General features: G+C 41.6%; 1 protein-coding gene across 3 annotated transcripts in view, besides 2 other annotated features; it reads left to right on the top strand.

The window, feature by feature from the left end:
* The window catches only part of MTO1 (mitochondrial tRNA translation optimization 1), a 47,500-nt gene extending 30,863 nt beyond the window's left edge, over positions 1–16,637 (top strand). For all 3 annotated transcript variants that reach the window (NM_133645.3, NM_001123226.2, NM_012123.4), the window contains 2 exons: positions 5,137–5,297; positions 7,975–16,637. In NM_133645.3, the coding sequence (NP_598400.1) occupies positions 5,137–5,297; positions 7,975–8,136 (323 nt within the window). In that variant the 3' untranslated portion in view covers positions 8,137–16,637. The remainder of the gene's footprint in view (positions 1–5,136; positions 5,298–7,974) is intronic.
* Positions 10,954–11,154: a silencer, noted in NCBI's record as "peak5897 fragment used in MPRA reporter construct". NCBI's record gives its function as "represses an SCP1 promoter by STARR-seq MPRAs in K562 erythroleukemia cells {active_cell/tissue: K562}" and the evidence as "EXISTENCE:reporter gene assay evidence [ECO:0000049][PMID:32103011]".
* Positions 22,727–23,021: a silencer, noted in NCBI's record as "tiled region #3585; K562 Repressive non-DNase unmatched - State 25:Art". NCBI's record gives its function as "represses a minimal TATA promoter and a strong SV40 promoter by Sharpr-MPRA in K562 cells {active_cell/tissue: K562}" and the evidence as "EXISTENCE:reporter gene assay evidence [ECO:0000049][PMID:27701403]".

Raw genomic sequence — 23,145 nt, forward strand, 5'->3', positions numbered from 1 at the left:
GGGCATTCCGGACCAGCCTGGCCAATATGGCAAAACCCTGTCTCTACAAAAAAAATACAAAAAATTAGCTGGATGTGAAGATACATGCCTGTAGTGCCAACTACTATGGAGACAGAGGTGGGAGGATTGCTTGAGGCTGGGAGGTGGAGGTTGCAGTGAGCCAAGATCGCTGTACTCCAGCCTGGGTGACAGAGCAAGATGACATCTAAAAAAAAAAAAAAAATTAAAAAAAGGAAATACAGACCCTCAGGCTTCACCTCAGACCCACTGAGAATCTATATTTAAACATGCTTTTCAGGTGATTTACATGCACATTTCAAATAAGTGGTACTGCAGAGTCCTCCTATAAATAAATATATATATAATATATGTGTGTGTGTGTGTGTGTGTGTGTATTTTTTTTTTTTTTTTTGAGGAGGAGTTTCCTTCTTCTTGCCCAGGCTGGGGTGCAGTGGCATGATCTCGGTTCACTGCAACCTCTCCCTCCCGGGTTCAAGTGATTCTCCTGCCTCAGCCTCCTGAGTAGCTGGGATTACAGGCATGCACCACCACGCCTGGCTAATTTTTTGTATTTTTAGTGTTCACGGGGTTTCACCATGTTGGCCAGGCTGGTCTCGAACTCCTGCTCAGGTGATCTGCCTGCCTCGGCCTCCCAAAGTGCCAGGGATTACAGGCGTGAGCCACTGCACCTGGCCAAAAATAAATATTTTTTATAGGAGGGCACCACAGTACCACTTATTTGAAATGTGCATGTATGTGTGTGTGTGTGTGTGTGTGTGTGTGTGTGTGTTTTGGTTTTTTCTTTTTTGAGATGGAGTTTCACTTTTGTTGCCCAGGCTGGAGTGCAATGGTGCAATCTTGGCTCACTGCAACCTACACCTCCCAGGTTCATGCAATTCTCCTGCCTCAGCCTCCCAAGTAGCTGGGGTTACAGGGCCCCGCCACAAGGCCCGGCAAATTTTTGTATTTTTAGTAGAGACAGGGTTTCATCACATTGGCCAGGCTGGTCTCAAACTCCTGACCTCAGGTGATCCGCCCGCCTTGGCCTCCCAAAGTGCTGGGATTACAGGTGTGAGCCACTGCACCCAGCATATATATATATATCTTTATATATTTTTTTAACCCTGAACTTTCTTTTTATACTCTCCCCACCTAATGTTTTAATAATGAGAAAAATAATACTATCTTTGGCTTTGACAGTATACTGAAATACTCTACCATTGACAAATACTTACTTTGTATCAATACTCTTGGTCAGTTTATAGACCATCAAAGCCACAGGTGTCTCTGGTAGTTGCTCTGCATTTTTTTAAGTTTTTCATAATGAAAATTTTTATTATGAAAATACTGAAGCTGGGCGTAGTGGCTCACGCCTGTAATCCCAGCACTTTGGGAGGCTGAGGTGGGCAGATCACCTGAGGTCAGAAGTTCGAGACCAGCCTGGCCAACATGGTGAAACCCCATCTCTACTAAAAATACAAAAAAATTAGCTGAGCATGGTGGCAGGCACCTATAATCCCAGCTACTCGGGAGGCTGAGGCAGGAGAATTGCTTGCACCCAGGAGACGGAGGTTGCAGTGAGCCGAGATCGCACCATTGCACTCCAGCCTGAGCGACAAGAGCGAGACTTCATCTTAAAAAAAAAAGAAAAGAAAATACTGAGAATAATATTGGCTTCTGCATTTTGATAGAAGGTGTTTTTTCATGGGTGGAAAATGATGTAGTGAAAAAAGCAGGGAACAGGATAACATGGTGAGAAGGGAAGACAAAGTTGGATGATGGTGTGCTGTTCAAACAGGAAAAGACTATGCTCTTTGGGAACCAGCCAGAATGGTGATCATGCTGCATTCCTTCTAGCAGTGGCATTTTCTTTTTTTTTCTTTTTTTTTTTTTTTGAGACGGAGTCTCGCTTTGTCGCCCAGGCTGGATTCCAGTGGCGCAATTTTGGCTCACTGCAACCTCCACCTCCTGGGTTCAAACAATTCTCCTGCCTCAGCCTCCTGAGTAGCTGTGAGTACAGGCATGCACCACCACGCCTGGCTAATTTTTTTATTTTTAGTAGAGACGGGGTTTCACTATTTGGCCAGGCTGGTCTTGAACTCCTGACTTCAGGTGATCCACCCGCCTCGGCCTCCCAAAGTGCTGGGATTACAGGCATGAGGCACTGCTCCTGGCCTTTTTTTTTTTTTTGAGACAGAGTCTTACTCTGTCACCCTGTCGCCCAGGCTGGAGTGCAGTGATGCAATCTGAATTCACTGCAACCTCGGCCTCCTGGGTTCAAGCCGTTCTCCTGCCTCAGCCTCTCAGGTAGCTGGGACTATAGGCGCGCACCACCACACCTGGCTAATTTTTGTATTTTTTTTAGTAGAGACAGTGTTTCACCATGTTGGCCAGGCTGGTCTCAAACACCTGACCTCAGATGATCTGCCCACTTCGGCCTCCCAAAGTTGTTGGGATTACAAGCGTGAGCCACCATACCCAGCCAGCATTTTTTTCAGTCCCACAAAGGCCTATCACCTTGCAATGCTTTGGATGTCTGTGTAGGATGACCCAAGTGCTACCTACCATTCCACCACACAAGTTTACAAAAGTCTAGCAACAAAAGGAAACTCATCAGAAACTCTAGAATTATTCTTCCAAATTATTAAACACTAGCAATATATTAAGGTAGAAGAAGGATCGTTGACCTGTTATTTTACCATCACAATTTCTCTATTGAGTAAAAATTTCTTTATTAAACACTTAGGGCTGTTAGCTCTGGGGAAGAGTGATTATATATTTTAAACTTGGTTTGCAGTTTAACTTTGTTCAATAAATCGTCAGGTTCAGGTTAGGATAATCCAGAAAAATTATCATTAACTTGTTCATAGAAAGCCCTGACTTCAAACATTGAATAGCTACTGTTTTTACTTGTTCTTTAAAGACTCTGGCATATATAAAGACTCTCATAACTATCATGGCTTAAAAAAAAAAACTATACTAGATTGAAATATAACACATATCAGTGGTTTTCAGATTGCTACCTGAATCCCTCCACTAGACAAAACATTTCTTGAGGGCATAAATCAGTGTGAGATTCTTCTTTGTATTCTCTCTCTTGTTTTGTTATATGTGAATACATATAACATTATACCCTTATATACCTTTAGCATATGCATTACCTCATATATTTCATGATACCTTGAAGAGTCTATTCTTGAGTCATAACATTATATTACAATTTGCTGTACTAATTTATTATATTACAATATTATATAAGCTATTTACATGCATTATTTCATTTGATACTTAGAACTGCCCTGTGAAGGGCAGATATTAGCATTGTTGTCCCAGTTTTACAGATAAGTGGTAATTGCCCAAGATCACACAGTTGGTGAGTGGCAGAGCTGGGACTGGAACCTACCTTGTCTGATTGCAAATCCTGTGTACTTCACAACTATTCTTTGTTGCCATAAAGACCCTCAGAAGTCATCTGGGCCAGCCCTTGCAATTTCTAGAAAAAGAAGCTAAGTCCCAAAATGATGATGATGTACGCATAGTCAGAGGGTAATTCATTGTTGGAGTCAGACACAGAGATGAGATGTTCTGGCTGCCAGTTAAGTGATGGGAAAAGATGCTACCAAAACCTCAGAGGACTCCCTTTCTTGAACAGGACAGAATAAGCACCTCAATTTAGGTTTTAAAACAGGTTTTTAATTTAATTTTCTAAGAGCAGAATGCTTTAAACAAAATAATTGCTGAATTATCTTCCTAACATCACTTTTGAACAATCCCTTAACTAAATTATTTAAATTATGTTTTGTCAACTAAGAAGCTTTACTTTTAAAATTTATAGCTCTATATGAAGATAATTTAAAAAACCATTTTCTTTTTTTTTTCTTTTTTTTAATTATTATTATTATACTTTAAATTTTAGGGTACATGTGCACAATGTGCAGGTTAGTTACATATGTATACATGTGCCATGCTGGTGTGCTGCACCCATTAACTCATCATTTAGCATTAGATCTCCTAATGCTATCCCTACCCCCTCCCCCCACCCCACAACAGTCCCCAGAGTGTGATGTTCCCCTTCCTGTGTCCATGTGTTCTCATTGTTCAATTCCCATCTATGAGTGAGAACATGCAGTGTTTGGTTCAAAAAACCATTTTCTTAGAGAAGTAGCTTATCTCAGCCGGGCATGGTGGCTCATGCCTATAATCCCAGCACTTTGGGAGGCCAAGGTGGGCAGATCATGAGGTCAGGAGTTCGAGACCAGCCTGGCTAACATGGTGAAAACCCATCTCTACTAAAAATACAAAGATTAGCCGGGCGTGGTGGCTTGCGTCTATAATCCCAGCTACTTAGGAGGCTGAGGCAGGAGAAATTGCTTGAACCTGGGACGTGGAGGTTGCAGTGAGCCGAGATCGCGCCACTGCATTCCAGCCTAGGCAACAAGCAAGACTCTGTCTCAAAAAAAGAGAGAAATAGCTTATCTCTAGGACATAAAATTCAACCTCACAGCCTGTTGAGAAAAATGTTCCAGCCAAGATTTGCACTGACAGCGGAAGCAAATTCTTTTTTTTTTTTTGAGACAGAGTCTCGCTCTGTCGCCCAGGCTGGAGTGCAATAGCGCTATATCGGCTCACTGCAACCTCCACCTCCGGGGTTCAAGCAATTCTCCTGTCTCAGCCTCCCGAGTAGCTGGGATTACAGGTGGATGCCACCACGCCTGGCTAATTTTTTATATTTTTAGTAGAGATGGCATTTCACCATGTTCCCCATGCTGGTCTCGAACTCTTGAGCTCAGACTATCCACCCGCCTTGGCCTCCCAAAGTGTTAGTATTACAGGCATGAGCCACCATGCCTGGCCACAAATTCTTTTTTTACTTTTAATTTTCCAGATATTTGAAAAGGACATGCACTAAACTACTAGACAGAATGTTGTAGTTAATATGCAAGACACTCCATTTATCTTAGCTTCAGTTTCCTCCTATGTAAAAGGGAACACCTACCCAACCCATCTCATGAAATGAGTGTTGAATGAGATGATGTACACAAAAGCTTTTTGTAAATTGTAAGAGGCTACATAAATGTAAGTTGTTAGTATAATATAATCTGGGTATTATAACATGATTCTGATTTTGTTGACCAGCCACTTATGAATCAGTGTTGTTCCATCAACTACAAGAAATAAAGGGAGTTCAGCAAGATGAAGCTCTCCAACTGCCAAAAGACCTAGATTATTTGACTATCAGGGATGTGTCTTTGTCCCATGAAGTTCGAGAGAAACTACATTTTAGTCGTCCACAGACGGTAAGAAAATAGGCAGGAGAATAGAAACAAGTTATAGATAAAGATACAGTGCTTTAATTTTTTAAACCTGGGGTTATAATGGCCATATAACTAATGTTTTATTTAGTAATAAGAAACTTCCAGCATGGGCAACACAGCAAGACCCCATCTCTACAAAAATACAAAAATTAGCTGGGCATGGTGGCATGCACCTGCAGCGCCAGCTACTCGGGAGGCTGAGGTGGCAGATACCTGAGCCCAAGACACTGAGGCTGCAGTGAGCCATGATTGCACGACTGCACTCCAGCCTGGGCAACAGAGTGAGACCCTGTCTCAAAAAAAAAAGAAACTTGACCTCAGATTTTTTTCTTGTGTTTCTAAGACAGATGTTGGTATGTTTGTATGAGAGATGATAAAGCTTAACTTTAACTAAATAACTGGAAGTCAAGAATTGGTTTGATTGGAACTATTCTCTAGTCCCAACCATGTGATAAAGCATCAGAGCAAACTATGCAAGATAGTACACGTGTATGGCTTAAAGGAAACCATACTAGATTAAAACATAACTCATATTTGTGATTTTCAAGTCACTACTTGGAGTCCTCCCTAGGAGTTCCATAGTGTTGCCTTGGGAACTAATGGGAGAAAGAGGGGAGCCAAAAAATGCCCCCACCACGTGCTTCAGACTAATTGTGAGAGGGTATATGCATGTTCCTTTGTGTAAACAAATAAACTTTTAATTTACTATATAGTAATTAGTATTGGGCTTCTAATAAATGTTTAAAGACTGATAAACTGTACTTACTGATTCTGAAATACACTTTTCTCCACATTTTAACATCTCTAAAATTGCATCTTTTTTTTTTTTGAAATGGAGTCTCACTCTGTCACCAGGCTGGAGTGCAGTGGAACGATCTCGGCTCACTGCAACCTCTGCCTCCTGGGTTCAAGCGATTCCCCTACCTCAGCCTCCCAAGTAGCTGGGACTACAGGCGCATGCCACCACACTCAGCTAATTTTTTTTTGTACTTTTAGCAGAGACGGGGTTTCACCATGTTGGCTGGGATGGTCTCGATCTCCTGACCTCATGATCTGCCCGCCTTGGCCTCCCAAAGTCCTGGGATTACAGGCGTGAGCCACCGTGCCTGGCCAGTTGCATCTTTACTATCTCAAAAATTGATGGTGTGTCACAGTTTAATGGACATTTTTTTTTTAGTAGTGTTTCATAAAATAAAGGGGCATATTACAAAAATATAGACTGTAGAAAAATTTGAAAAAAACTATTTTTACAGGGAGGAGTAATTTCATTAATATAAGATGGTATTCTTAGCAACAGTCATCATGGAAACCAGGAAAATAAGCCTTAAATTTTATGACTTTGTCCCTTCCTATTGATTTCAGGTTATGTTTGTATGGATAATCATAGGCTACACTGCCACACTGTCCAACATGATAGCCACTCGCCAATTGTGGTTATTTACATTAATTAAAATTAAATAGGCCAGGTGCAGTGGCATGCACCTATAGTCCCAGCTACTTGGGAGGCTGAGGTGGGAGGATCGCTTGAGCCCAGGAGGTAGAGGCTGCAGCAAGTCATGATTATACCACTACATCCCAGCCTGGGTGACAGAGTGAAACCCTGTCTCAAAAAAAAAAAAAAGAAAAAAATTAAATAAAATGTAAAATTCAGTTCCTCAGTCTTACTAGCCACATTTCAAGTGCCCAGTAGCCACATATGACTAGTGGCTACCATATTGGACACTGCATTATTGCAGTGCACATGTTATAGAAGATTTCCATCATCATAGAAAGTTCAGTTGGACAGCACTGGTCATAGGAGTTCAGAACTCCTTGCCCACAATTCTATAATACAAAAGGCTCTGGCAGAAGTTTGCCACAAGCTCATTTGGTAGCAAAACTGAGCTCAGCTCAGAAGAGGCTATATGGTCTTTATACTGTTCAGAGTGAATATTCATACATTTCACTGTAAAAATACACTGCAGAAATATTAATAGGATTAAAAATGTGGGGCGCTGCCCCACACACTGCTGAGGCTGTTACATTAGGTACCGCCTCAAGGATTAGATATATCTTATTACAAAAACATATGGCTTCAAGGATTTCATTTCATTTTATTTTTTTGAGAGAGGGGCTTACTCTGTCACCCAGGCTGGAGTGCAGTGGCATAATCACAGCTCACTGCATTCTCGACCTCCCAGGCTCAAGTGATCCTCCCACCTTTGTTTTCTGAGAGGCTAGTACTACAAGTGTGCACCACCATCCTAAGCTAATTTTTGTTTATTTTCTGTAGAGACAGAGTCCCACTATTTTTCCCAGGCTGGCCTCAAGAATTTCAAATAAGGGACTGTGGACCTGTATTTGAAGAAAGGAACTTGATTACAGTTTTTCTTAGTTTAATGGGACAAAAAAGTAGATACTCTAACATCTATTAGTTATGTAATCTTGCACAAGCTATTTTAACATTTCTGTGCCTCAGTTTCCCATTTGTAAAATGAAGACATAAATAATAATATTTCCTTTATCTACTTTACAAGGAAATATGTTAAGATAATACATCAAAATAATAATTAAGAAAATATTGTATAAACTATACTATACAGATTGTTATTTGGAGGAAAATAGATTTGATTTGACATAGCATAGCTCACTTAGTTTCTCTTGTGGTATTGATTTTTAGATCGGGGCTGCTAGTCGCATACCCGGAGTAACACCTGCCGCCATCATCAATCTGCTGAGATTTGTGAAGACCACTCAACGAAGACAGTCGGCTATGAATGAATCATCCAAGACTGATCAATACTTATGTGATGCAGACAGACTTCAAGAGAGAGAGTTATAGCTTTCAATTCATAAAAGATTTTTAAAGAGCATATAAATAATTTGATCAATACAACAGTATAGATAAAAGAATTATTTAGCACATGTTAAAATAGCTTTATTAGGTTACTATGGGTTTGCCATTAATTTCTGAGTGGGACAGAAATTATAATTGTGCTTTTTCGTGTATATGAAAAAACTAGTCGTAAACAATTTGTACTCTTTCTTTAAGGAGCTGTAATACAAATAACTTTGTGCAGTGTTCATCAAAGAGAGAGACAGTGAACCTAAAACTGAACCTGGAATAAAACTCAACATGCAGATTTGCCTACTCATAGGGACTTTGCCTATTAAGTCTACCAAATTAAAAGTCTTATCATTCAGCGTGTTTTGAGAGTTAATAATCTTTTGCTTGGTTATACTAGGCTAGGAAGCAATATCAAAGCCCTTAAATTCTCAAGACTAAAGACTTGAGATTATATAAAATTATCCAGAATCATTCAGCTAATACTATTGGAATATAGTATGTAGGGTGAAAGTTGACAGAAATCTGTACTTCTTCAGGAAATCCTCACTGGTAATTGTTTTGAACATTAATGAAAGCCCTATAAAATAGAAAGATTGGAAATCACCATTGTTTCCTATTATCCACAGTGTGGATGGATACTTATTTGGTGACCTAGTTATGGGAGAATTGAGTAACGTTAGTTATTTTATATCATACCATAAAAATATTTTCTTAAGAAATTGTCATGGCCATCATTTCTTAATAATGAAGACAGGTCCATAGTAACTGGTGAGTGGTGTTTCCCTGTTTTTAAGTCAGAATGACAGAAAAAACAGAATAGTGGTAGTACCCCTCTTCCTCTCCAGTACTTCAATGGTATGTCTTCACAGGGGTTAGAGTGGGATAATCAGCTGGGCCTTTTGACTCAGATACCTCAGATACCTCAACCATTCTAAATAGACTAAGGGATGAATACAGCCAAATGGGCCAGACAGCCCTGCTTGTCTCTGGAATTCCAACCCAGATCTCTGGTGTCAGCCTAGGGAGAAGCTCCCGTGTCACCTTCGGGCCAAAGCAGGTACTCAGGAGAGTTCTAAGGGCCCCAAAGTCACTTTGGCTACAGATGTGTATGTTAAGCCTGATTATGGGTGTGAGGCAACCAAGTATCTTGTTACTATAATTGCATATGGCCACTTGGAGGTAGCTTAGTTTTCTTGGGTTTATTTTATCTAATTTTAGTCTTTCCAGAAAGCAGTAAGATTAGTAGCAAGTAAAAAGTATTTGTAGTGCTGGATAATTTAGGAATGATGAATATTTTTTAATACTTGATTCAGTGATTTCAAAAGGTCGTAACTTTTAGTCATAGCTACTCCTGGGCAAAATTCTTCTTACAGAGACAATATTAATTACAATACCACATTGTGTATATATTTTGAAAAGAGGCTGGTTGCAGCAGCTCACGCCTGTAATCCCAGCACTTTGGGAGGCTGAGGCGGGTGGATAACCTGAAGTCAGGAGTTCAAGACCAGCCTGGCCAACATGGCAAAACCCCATCTCCACTAAAAATACCAAAATTAGCCAGGCGTGGTGGAGCAAGCCTGTAGTCCCAGCTACTCAGGAGGCTGAGGCAGGAGAATCGCTTGAACCCAGGAGGCAGAGGTTGCAGTGAGCTGAGATTGTGCCACTGCACTCCAGCCTGGGCGACAGAGTGAGACTGTTTCAAAAAAAAGAAAAAGAAAAGAAGGTATTTTGTGTTTTTGTGCTACCCGTTCAGCAAAATAATGAAATTCATTGTTTCTAAACTTTTTTTTCTGATTAAATACAAGAGTAAAAAAAGTGAATGGAGTGCCTTTTGAATAGAATATAACAAAAATTTATCTTAAAGAAACGGGAAGTAACCTGGCACAGTGGCTCACGCCTGTAATCCCAGCACTTTGGGAGGCTGAGGCAGGTGGATCACGAGGTCAGGAGATCGAGACCATCCTGCCCAACATGGTGAAACCCCATCTCTACTAAAAATACAAAAATTAGCTAGGTGTGTTGGCACGTGCCTGTAGTCCCAACTACTCAGGAGGCTGAGGCAAGAGAATCACTTGAACTCAGGAGGCAGAGGTTGCAGTGAGCCAAGATCATGCCACTGCACTCCAGCCTGGCAACAGAGTGAGACTCTGTCTCAAAAAAAAAAAAAGAAACAGGAAGTTCAAATATTTTGGGAGGTTCTTGACAGCTACAATTTGGGGCTAGTGACACTATACACATATAAAGAAACTTTAAAGTTTCTTAGTAATGAAGGTTTGTAATGCTATTCCATTACAATAGTAACTGTCTCACTGAAAAATGTTTCATGGAAAATACATATTTTAGATTCTATGATTTGCTTTAGGATGTGAACTTCTTTATTTTTTAGAGACAGGGTCTCACTCTGTTGCCCAGGCTGTAGTGCAGTGGTACAATCATAGCTCACTGCAGCCTTGATCTCCTGGGCTCAAGTGATCCTTATGCCTCAGCCTCCCAAGTGGCTGGGACTACAGGCACATGCCACCATGCCTGGCTAAGTTTTAAAAAAATTTTTTGTAGGAATGAAGTCTCACTATGTTGCCCAGGCTGGTCTTGAACTTCTGGCCTCAAATGATCCTCTTGCCTTGGCCTCCCAAAGTGCTCAGATTACAGGCATGAGCCACCACACGTGGCCTGAAACCTCTTTAAATCCACAATGTTTGTATGTTAACTTAAACAAAATTACATCACTTAATATGTCAAAACAGCCTACCCTCTGGTGCTGCTATGCAGAAGTACTACAGAATATGATGCCCTAGGAAGAAATCAGCTAAAAATGTAACCTTACTCAATGTAGTTACTTCATAGAAATCCCATCACTGACAATAATCAGCTGCCAACGAAAGCTGGCCATACTTGTGACTTCCTCTATTCACCACAGACCAGACTGCCTACCAGTTGAAAAAGCCAGGTATTTTTTCAATTCAATTCAACAGGAACACCAAAAAATAAGAAATGACTAAGAAACACTAAGCATTTGTAAAATTACTGGGGGAGGAAGGATGAAGATACGAACCTATGCTAAATTAAACGATTATGGCCTTGAAAATGAAGTTCCTTTATAGCCAAGAGCTTAAATTTTGTTACTGATGGTTTTAAAAGTATTTTGTCATTTTTTAGTTTCAACCTAGATTGGAATAGCCATGGCTTTTCTACTTCAGAAATTTCAACTCCTAGAAGAATGCCCTGTCCAGAAGAAGTGGTCAGGAGTATCAGGAAAGCCACCAGCAGAGACTAGGGGTTTATTCTGATCTGGAAGAGCCACTTAACACTGGAATGCACACAGTGAAAATTAATTGTTCCTCTTACACTCCCTCTCCACAATACTTCTATTATTACACTTACTTCGTTCTACCTTAATGTTTTTATTTAGAGACAAGATCTCACTCTGCCACCCTGGCTGGAGTGCAGTGGCATGATTACAGCTCACTGCAGCCTCAACCTCCCTGGCTCTAGCTATTCTCCCATCTCAGCCCTCCAAGTAGCTGGGACTACAGGTGTGCACCACCATGCACGGCTAATTTTTAAGTTTTTGTAGATATGGGGTCTTACTATGTTGCCCAGGCTGGTCTCAAAGTCCTGGGCTCAATTAATCCTCCCTCTTCAGCCTCCTGTGTAGGTGATAGTACAGGCATGAGCCACCATGTGCCTGGCCCTACCTTAATGTTAATATCTGTCTACCTTAAGAAGATATAAGCCTTGTAAATATAAGCAATATCACAGTTGTAGATACTCGTGCTTTTTAAATAGATTAATGAATACTACTAAAGGCAAGAAATGGTATTACTAAAACTCAAGTGAATAATTAAATGAGATCAAAATATTTGTGACAGGCCAGGCACGGTGGCTTACGCCTGTAATCCCAGCACTTTGGGAGGCCAGGCGGATCACTTGAGCTCAGCAGTTCAAGACCAGCCTGGGCAACATGGCGAAACTCCGTCTTTACCAAAAATACAAAAATAAGCCAAGCATGGTGGCACGTACCTGTTGTTCCAGCAACTTGGGGGCTGAGGCAGGAGAATCACTTGAGCCGGGGAGTTTGAGGCTGCAGTGAGTTGATAGCATGCCACCACACTCCAGCCTGGGCAACAGAGTGAGACCCTGCCTGAAAAAAAGCCCAGGTGTGGTGGCTCACATCTGTAATCCCAGCATTTTGGGATTACAAATCTGCCAGCGCAAGCAGATCACTTGAGGATAGGAGTTTGAGACCAGCCTGACCAACATGTTGAAACCCCATCTCTTATTAAAATACAAAAATTAGCTGGGCGTGGTGGCATGCGCCTGTAATCCGAGCTACTCAGGTGGCTGAGGCACAAGAATCGCTTGAACCTGGGAGATGGAAGTTGCAATGAGCTGAGATCAAGCCACTGCACTCCAGCCTGGGCAACAGAGCAAGACTGTCTCAAAAAAAAAAAATTTGTACAGTCATGTTCAAAGTAGCATTAATTCACAATAGCCAAAAGCTGGAAGTAGCCCAAGTATCCACCAATGAATGAAAGGATAAACAAAATGTGGCATATACATACAATGGAATATTATACAGCCTTAAAAAGGAAGGAAATTCATATACATGCTACAGCATGGATAAACCTTGAAAAAGTTATGCTAACTGAAATCAGCCAGTCACAAAAAGACAAATACTGTATGATTCCCTTTATAAGAGTTACCTGGAGCACTCAAATTCATAGAGACAGTAAAATGATGGTTACCAGGGGATGGGGGAGGGAGAAACAGGAAACTATTCTTTAGTGAGTACAGAATTTCAGTTTTTTTGTTTTGTTTTTGTTTTTGTTTTTGAGATGGAGCCTCACACTGTCACCCAGGCTGGAGTGCAATGGTGTGATCTTGGTTCACTGCAACCTCTGCCTCCTAGGTTCAAATGATTCTTCTGCCTCAGTCTCCTGAGTCTGGGATTACAGGCGCCTGCCATCATGCCCAGCTAATTTTTGTATTTTTAATAGAGACAGGGTTTCACAGGTTGGCCAAGCTAGTCTCGAACTCCTGACCTCATGATCCGCCCACCTCGACCTCCCAAAGTGCTGGGATTACAGGGGTGAGCCACCATGCCCAGTCCAGAATTTCAAGTTTTGCAAGATGAAAAGAGTTCTGGAGATGGTTGATGGTGATGGTTGCACAACAATTTGAATATTTTAAATGCCAATGAACTGTTCATTTACAAATGGTTACGATGGAATTTTTCTTTTTCTTTTTTTTTTCTTGAGACGGAGTCTCGCTCTGTCACTCAGGCTAGAGTGCAGTGGCACTATCTCGGCTCACTGCAACCTCCTCCTGCTGGGTTAAAGTGATTCTCTTGCCTCAGCCTCCCGAGCAGCTGAGACTACAGGCGCGTGCCACCATGCTCAGCTAATTTTTTCTATTTTTAGTGGAGACAGGGTTTCACCATGTTAGCCAGATGGTCTCGATCTCCTGACCTCGTGATCCACCTCCCTCAGCCTCTCAAAGTGCTGGGATTACAGGCATGAGCCACCGTGCACAGCCAAGATGGAAATTTTTATGTTCTTTGTTTGATATGGTTTGGCTGTGTCCCCACCCAAATCTCAACTTGAACTGTATCTCTCAGAATTCCCACATGTTGTGGGAGGGACCCACAGGGAGGTAATTGAATCACAAGGGCCGGTTTTTACCATGCTTTCTTGTGATAGTGAATAAGTCTCACAAGATCTGATGGGTTTATCAGGGGTTTCCGATTTTGCTTCTTCCTCATTTTCTCTTGCCACTCCCATGTAAGAAGTGCCTTTCGCCTCCCGCCAAGATTCTGAGGCTTCCTCAGCCATGTGGAACTTTGGGGACGAAAAGAGGTTTAATTGGACTTAAAGTTCCAATTAAAGTTTCAGGTATGTCTTTATCAGCAGCATGAAAATGAACTAATACAGTGTTTTATCACTTTTTTTTTTTTTTTTTTTTTTTGAGATGGAGTTTCGCTCTTGTTGCCCAGGCTGGAGTGCAATGGCGCAACATCAGGTCACTGCAAACTCTGCCTCCCGGGTTCAAGCGATTCTCTTGCCTCAGCCTCCTGAGTAGCTGGGATTACAGGCTTGTGCCACCACACCCGGCTAATTTTTGTATTTTTAGTAGAGACAGAGTTTCACCATGTTGGCCAGGCTAGTCTTGAACTCCTGACCTCAGGTGATCCACCCACCTTGGCTTCCCAAAGTGGGTGGATGACCTCTGGGATTACAGGCGTGCGCCACCGCGCTCGGTCTATATTCACCAATTTTAAGATGCACATCTTTCCATATTTTAGTATCTCTAAGTTGGAGTATGTCTTACAATTAATGGCATCTGACAGTTATAACTGGCAGCATTTGTGACTGAAAAACATCTTAGATGCAATGAAATACAGTGTGTGTGTTTGTATTGTGCTGCAATATAAAATGTATTTCAGGCCAGGTATGGTGGTTCACACCTGTAATCCCAGCACTTTGGAAGGCCAAAGTGGGAGGATCACTTGAGCCCAGGAGTTCAAGGCTGCAGTGAGCTCTGATTATACCACTGTACTCCAGCCTAGGCAACAGAGCAAGACCCAGTCTCTAAAAAATAAATGAAAATGTTTCTTATTGTGGATCACAGTCAAAAGTTTGAAAAAACACAATCTGTTTGAACAGCACTACTTTCTGACAGGAAAACCCCAACAGGTTAGGATCTGTGTATTCCTCAGAGTAAGAATTTTTCTAAAAAGTTTTTAAAAACTTAAAGTCTTACTGATCTCTTCCTATGCTCCAATTTTATAGATATAACTTAGCCTTGCGAGGTGATGTAATTAAAGTCTAACTTCAAGTTGCTGTTGAGCATAGATCTCAGGTCTTCTGACTTCACAACACCTTTCTGCCACTTTCAGTGGATTTTTCCCTCCTAGGGACCAGAGGTCCTCTACTGGATTAAAAGTTTCTCCATCCCGGCAGGGTGCGGTGGCTCACGCCTGTAATCCCAACACTTTGGGAGGCCAAGGCGGGCGGATCACGAGGTCAGGAAATAGAGACCATCCTGGCTAACATGGTGAAACCCCGTGTCTACTAAAAATACGAAAAATTAGCCGGGTGTGGTGGTGCGCGCCTGTAGTCCCAGCTACTCGGGAGGCTGAGGCAGGAGAATGGCGTGAAGCCAGGAGGCGGAGCTTGCAATGAGCCGAGATCGCGCCACTGCACTCTAGCCTGGGCGACAAAGCGAGACTCTGTCTCAAAAAAAAAAAAAAAAAAAAAAAATTCTCCATCCCTTTTGAACAATCTGGAAGTCTGTTTCTCTTAACCTTCAGTTCCCATTCCAATCCTTTGTAACCTATTTCAGGTTAAGCATTTATGGAGGTGCCATGCTTAATTAGCCATTATGGCACTCACTCTATTTCAAAGGTTATCCCAGAATTTGGAGGCTGTAGGGGAATTCAGAGTGTGAATTTCACTTGAACAGCACCCTCTGCAGACTTAAAATATTCCTCCTATATCTGAAGACAATAATAATTTCTTAGAATTTGCTAGGCTAAACAACTATTTTTTAGTCCAGTGGCTTGTAATTAAGTCATTTTTAGTCTTTAATTATGTTGGTTGCTTTTAGAATTCTCTTTTAGAGTTGGTCTACATCCTTTTAAAACATGGGCAATCCAAATTTATAACAGTAAATTAAGATACATAAAAAAAAACACTGGCTAAATTTAAAAGGAAACACTTCTAGAATATACTGTATTTTGACACAAGACCAGACTGTGCTATGTGTATGTGGTGTTTCAAGTAATTTAAGAAAACTGTTGGAATTTTCTGTATTTCCAGTTTCACAAGAAACAACCTCAAGGAGGGCAGTTTAACTGAAAATTCAGAGGTATTATAGCTCTGAAGAAAAATACTGATGAGCAGTTATACAAAATGAGAAATTGAGTTCTAAGAAATGCATCCCTAACTTCAACATAAAGATAGCTATGAGAAAACATTCTTTGTACCCAACCATAAATGAATAAAAATCACCTCATTTCTCATCAGATGTTTACTGGGTTGCTAGTTATATATAGAATCCTGCAAGAGGCTCAACAGGGAAGTCCAAAGAGTCAATCAAGAAGGTATGATAATGGCTAAAGATGGGGACTGTAGGTCAATGCTCCACGAGGTTCTTCTTTTGTTGCACCAATATAGCTGCACTGTTATACCCATATGGTTACAATCCAGGCCTCAGAAAATGTTGCAGATGCCCTCACCAGAAGGCTGAGAACCAGTTCCTCAGTTTGCATGCCTCCAGACAGCACTAGAAGTCAAACTCAAATTGCTTACATGGTAACTTGGTTTATCCCAACACCAACTAGGATATTCCCTCAATCACATGATTGTACTGAAAATATAACCAAGTTTTATTTATGTTTTTCATTTGGTATTAGCCATCTGGTATTTAACCTCTGAAAACCACACAATCTTCTATACGCTTTTTTCACTGGAATAAATGAAACTGCTTACTTTTGACTTAAGTCTATTTCGCTTTATACGAGCAATAACCCATATTTCGGACAATGTCTCAAAAGAGATTGTGTTAAAGGAAAATCCAGGCTGCATATTGTGCTTTTATCTGTTTTGAGTTAGCTTTAAATGTAAAGTTTGACAAAAGCAAAACTACATGAACTCTTTTAGGGAAACCATGACTGGCTAAAATAGAAACTTTTAATTCCTAATACAAAGATTATTTACTCCCACTTTGACCTTATAACTCTAAGTGGCAGAGCAAATTACTTTTGTGTGCCCAAAAATGGCAAGTAAATTTAAAGCTATCACCTTCTTCACCTTGCTTTTATTAAACATTTGATAAAATTTTCACAATTGCCTTGTGATTAAAATTATGAAATATGGCCTATGTTATAGTATTGTTAGGTAAATTTTCAACCACTTGGCCCACCATAATCAAGTAACAATTCTCTAGTGCAGTACCACAGACCTCTTAGATTTACTTTGTCTAGTACTTAAAGTAAAAACACAAAAACATAAATATCAGATCTGTAAATCACAAAGTCCACATTTTTACTTATTCATGCTAGAGAGCAGGCTCCAGATACAAAATTATCTAACGAGATGATAAGATACAGCGGTGATAAAGCAAACTCCCAACATTTGAGTTTTTAAAATTAACCATACAGTGGTATGGTGTCCTGAATTGGATCCTGAAACAGAAAAAAAGGCTATGGATAGAAAAATTGGTGAAATCTGAATAGTCTGGAGAGTAGTAACATAACAATGTAGGCTGGGTGTGGTGGTTCATGCCTGTAATCCCAGCACTTTGGGAGGTGGAGGTGGGAGGACTGCTTGAGCTCAAAGTTTGAGACCAGCCTGGACAATATAGTGAGACCTCATCTCTATTATTTTTATTAGAAAAAAAAGTGTCTTAGTTTTGACAAATGTACCATGATAATGTAAGATGTTAACATTAGGGAAGGCAAACTGGGTGAGGGTTATATGGAAACTCTTATCTTTGCAACTTTTCTGTGTATCTAAATTTATTCCAAAATAAATGTAAGAACCAGGCGTGGTGGCTCACACCTGTAATCCCACCACTTTGGGAGGCCGAGACAGGCGGATCACAAGGTAAGGAGTTCGAGACCAGCCTGGCCAATATGGTGAAACCCCGTCCCTACTATGAAAAATTAGCTGGGTTTGGTGGTGCATGCCTGTAATCCCAGCAACTTGGGAGGCTGAGGCAGGGGAATAGCTTGAACCTGTGAGGTGGAGGTTGCAGTGAGCTGAGATCACACCATTGCACTCCAGCCTGGGCAACAGGGCAAGACTTCATCTCAAAATAAAATAAAATATAAAATAAAATAAATAAAATAAAATAAAATAAATAAAATAAAATAAATAAAATAAAATAAAATAAAATGAAACAAAATACATGTAAGGAAAAGACCATATATGGGCAGATCACTTTAGGTCAGGAGTTCAAGACCAGCCTGGCCAACATGGTGAAACCCTGTCTCTACTAAAAATACAAAAATTAGCCGGGCGTGGTGGCACGCTCCTGTAGTCCCAGCTACTCAGGAGGCTGAAGCAGGAGAATCACCTGAACCTGGAAGGCAGAGGTTGCAGTAAACTGAGATTGTGCTACTGTACTCCAGCCTGGGCAACAGAGTGAGACTCTCAAAAAAAAAAAAAAATGCTGTCTGGGAAGAACAGCATGGGAAGAAACCATGTGACCTAAGATTAAGAAACAGCTGTAGGAACTGAAAGTGTTTAGCTCAGATGTGACTAAGGGGTATCAATTGGTGTCTTCAAGTATTGTGGCTCTCGTAGATAAGAGAATGAAAAACACAAAAAAGAAAAAAGTAAAAAGTTTTAAAAAGAGAATGAAGTAATTTAATTACACTAGAGCCCAGGTGCAATGAGAAGTTAGCCAGCAGGCAAATTTAAATAAATATTGAAGGGCTGGGCGCTGTGGCTCAGGTCTGTAATCCCAGCACTTTGGGAGGTCAAGGTGGGTGGATCAATTGAGGTCAGTTTGAGACCAGCGTGGCCAACATGGTGAAACCCCATCTCTACTAAAAATACAAAAATTAGCCGGGTGTGATGGTGGGCGCCTGTAATCCCAGCTACTCGGGAGGCTAAGGCAGGAGAATCACTTGAACTCAGGAGGTGGAGGCTACAGTGAGCCAAGATCACACCACTGCACTCTAGCCTGGACAGCAGAGCGAGACTCCATCTCAAAAATAGAAAATACAAAATAAATAAATATTGAAAACAAATTCATGGCCTGGTGTGGTGGCTCACGCCTATAATCCCAGCACTTTGGGAGGCTAAGCGCGGGGTGGATCACTTGAGGTCAGGAGTTCGAGACCAGTCTGGCCAACATGGTGAAACCCCATCTATACTAAAAATACAAAAATTAGCCAGGCGTGGTGGCATGCACCCAGCTACTTGGGAGGCTGAGGCAGGAGAATCACTTGAACTCAGGAGGCGGAGGCTATAGTGAGCCGAGATGGAGCCACTGCACTCCAGTCTGGGTGACAACATGAGACTCTGTCTCAAAAACAAAACAAAATGAAACAAAAACAAATTCATCTAGTAACAGGACAATTTAGGAGAAAGTAAACTCCCCACGACTTAACTTCTCTATGCATCAGTCTGTCATCTGTAACATGGGTACCTGCCCCCTGCCATGGCTGTTGTGAGGAATTCAGAGATGTCTTTGCCCTCCAATGTATGACATACACATCATCGAGGTAATCAAGGTCAGGCGCATGGCTCATGCCTATAATCCCAACATTTTGGAAAGCCGAAGCAGGATTGCGTGAGGCTAGGAGTTCAAGATCAGCCTAAGCAACATACCAAATCCCCTTCTCTACCCAAAAAAAACAAAACAAAAAAGCCAGGTGTGGTGGCACCTGTAGTGCCAGCTCCTGGCGAACCTAAGGCAACAGAATCGCTTGAGCCCAGGAGTTTGAGGTTGCAGTGAGCCATAGCCATGATTGTGTCACTGCACTCTAGCCTGCACTTTAGTGAGACCTTGTCTCTAAAATAAAAAAATAAAAAATAAACAAATTAAATATTTCAATAAATATATTCAAAGTTTATTTGAGTAGGTTAGATTCAAAGGTTTTTAAGTTTTCTTCTCAGATTTTCTGATTCTATGTGATTGTCCTGAGGCCAAATTAAGCCTTAAATACTGACATGTCTAAAAAGTAATACAAGCCGGGTGCAGTGGCTCATGCCTGTAATAGAAGCACTTTGGGAGGCCGAAGCAGGTGGATCACTTGAGGTCAGGAGTTCGAGACCAGCATGGCCAACATGGTAAAACCCCTTCTCTACTAAAAATACAAAAATTAGCTGGGTGTGGTGGTGCATGCCTGTAGTCCCAGCTACTTGGGAACCCGAGGCACAAGAAACACTTGAACTGGGGAGGTGGAGGTTGCAGTGAGCTGATATAGCATCATTGCATGCCAGCCTGGGCAACAGAGTGAGACTCTTGTCTCAAAAAAAAAAAAAGTGTCAAAACAATAAATAAAATAAAAATATATAGGGCTGGGTGTGGTGGCTCATGCCTGTAATCCCAGCACTTTGGGAGGCGAAGTCAGGTGGGTCATGAGGTCAAGAGATCAAGACCATCCTGGTCAACATGGTGAAACCCCATCTCTACTAAAAACACAAAAATTAGCTGGGCATGGTGGCATGTGCCTGTAGTCCCAGCTACTTGGGAGGCTGAGGCAGGAGAATAGCTTGAACCTGGGAGGCAGAGGTTGCAGTGTGGCGAGATCAAGCCACTGCACTCCAGCCTGGTGACAGAGCGAGACTCTGTCTCAAGAAAATAAATATATATGTATGTGTGTGTGTGTATGCATGTATATAATTATATATATTATATGTAGGAGTTGGGGAGAATATGAAAACATTGTGTGTGTGTATGCATATATATATTACACACACAATGTTGTCATATTCTCCCCTAACTCCTACTTATCCTTCAGGTCTCAGCTATTCCTGGCAAATACCTTCTCTGGCCAGTCTAAATTATGTCCCTTTCATTTACTCTTCTCCCTCATGGTATATTTCTCTTTTCCTTCATAGTACCATCACAACTCAAAAGTAGCTAATTTTATTTATTGAATCTCTATCTCCCCCACTAACTATAAACTCAAAGGTCAATAACCATGTCCATTTTGTTCATAGCTCTATCCCCAATGCCTAGAACGGTGCCTAGAACATAGTAAGCACAATATTTTATAAACAAATTACTTCACTGACCTGCAAAATATCAGTTTAACACTCAGGTAGTCTATTTGTCTTCCTCAAAAAAGTTGATCTCTTAATTACTAAATGGTTCAACCACTTTGGAAACAACTCGGCAGTTTCTTAAAAAGCATACGCTTTGCCACTCAGCCCAGTAATCACTTTCCTAGCTATTTACACAAGTAAAATAAAAACATTATTACATACAAAACTATATGTGGACATTTATAGCAGCTTTATTAATAATTGCCCCAAACTGGAAACAACTAAATGCCCCTCAGCTGGGAATGAATACACAAACTGTCATACACCCATTAAAAAGTAAGAGATTACTGATATATACAGGCTCACGCCTGTAACCCCAGCACTTTGGGAGGCCAAGACGGGCAGACCACCTGAGGTCAGGAGTTGGAGACCAGCCTGACCAACATGGTAAAACCCGGTCTCTACTGAAAATACAAAAATTAGGCAGGTGTGGTGGTGGGCACCTGTGGTCCTAGCTACTCAGGAGGCTGAGGCAGAATTGCTTGAACCTAGGAGACGGGGTCTCACTGTTGCCGAGGCTGGAGTACATAGCACCATCATAGCTCACTGCAGCCTCAGCCTCCCAGGATGAAGCGATCCTCCTGCCTGAACCCCCCAGAGTAGCTTGGGACTACAGGTGTGTACGACCATGCCCAGCTAATTTTTATTATTATATATATACTTTTTTGAGACGAAGTCGCACTTTGTCGTCCAGGCTGGAGTGCAGTGGCGCAATCTCGGCTCAGTGCAAACTCCGCCTCCCGGGTTGATGCTGTTCTCCTGCCTCAGCCTCCCGAGTAGCTGGGACTACAGGCGCCCACCACCATGCCCGGCTAATTTTTATTTTTAGTAGAAACGGGGGCTTCACCGTTTTAGCCAGGATGGTCTCGATCTCCTGACCTTGTGATCCGCCCACCTCGGCCTCCCAAAGTGCTGGGATTACAGGCGTGAGCCACTGCACCCGGCATCTTTATTTTTTGAGACAGTCTTGCCCTGTCACCCAGGCTGGAGTGCCCTGGCAAGATCTTGGCTCACCGCAACCCCCACCTTCCAAGCTAAAGGGATTCTCCTGCCTCAGCCTCAGTTGGGACTATAGGCATGTGCTACCACACCTTGCTTTTCTTTTGTATTTAGCAGATCTTCTCGCCTCAGCCTCCCAAAGTGCTAGGATTCGAGGCACTGCGCCCAGCCTTTTGCTTTTTTTTTTTTTTTTTTTTTGAGATGAAGTCTTTCTCTGTCGCCCAGGCTGGAGTGCAGTGGTGTGATCTTGGCTCAGCCTCGTAACTATAGGCACCTGCCACCACACCCAGCTAATTTTGTATTTTCAGTAGAGATGGGGTTTCAGCATATTAGCAAGGCTGGTCTGAACTCCTGACCTTGTGATCTCCCCACCTCAGCCTCCCAAAATGGTGGAATTACAGGCGTGAGCCATGACCTGGCCTGCTTCATTTTCTAATATCCCTTGCTTAGAATTATTGCAACATTAACGTTTATCTTCATTGTCATTGTCTCCCATAGAACCCACAAAACTAAACCTTGAGATCCATGGGCCTGCTAAAAACAGTCCCAAAGTAAATGACAAAAATGTTTAATTGCCAATAATTAGGTAAGAGAAAAAGGACAGTTAAATATCAGGGTAGTTCTAGCTGAATGAAATCTTTTAGAATTACACTAAAAAGTAAATGGTAAGTTACTAAGTTTGGAACTTCATCTCAAAAGAAAAAAAACCATGAAGATAACACAATGCTAAAATGTGGCCTGTCAGTGTAAACTGTCAACATTCTCCACTATAAAGAACTGAAACTGGGTTGAGGTTAGTAGGTCTGAACAAATCGTGTCCCACTAAGAGCACATGGGTTCTTCCTTGAGTCACTGCCGAGGCCCTGGCACATCTGAGATTTAAAAGATAAATATCAGATTAACTGGGAAAGATACAGTACAGGCAGATCACTTGAGCCCAGGAGTTGACCAGCCTTGGCAACATGGCAAAATACAAAAATTAGCCAGGCGTGGTGGCAAAAACCTGTGGTCCCTGCTATTCAGGGAAGATCACTTAAGCCCAGAAGTCAGGACTGCAGTTAGCCGTTAACTTCCACTCCAACCAGGGCAGGAGTAAAACCCTGTCTAAACAAAAAAAGCCAAGCACTACCTTGAAATCAACTGAAGTTAGCTCTCACTTTTGAAATCCACTCCAAAATTTGTAACCAATTCCAACATAGTAACTGTTAAAAGAAATGCCACT

The sequence above is a fragment of the Homo sapiens genome, chromosome 6 (assembly GCF_000001405.40).
Source record: "Homo sapiens chromosome 6, GRCh38.p14 Primary Assembly".
In the NCBI taxonomy this organism is placed as follows: Eukaryota; Metazoa; Chordata; class Mammalia; order Primates; family Hominidae; genus Homo; species Homo sapiens.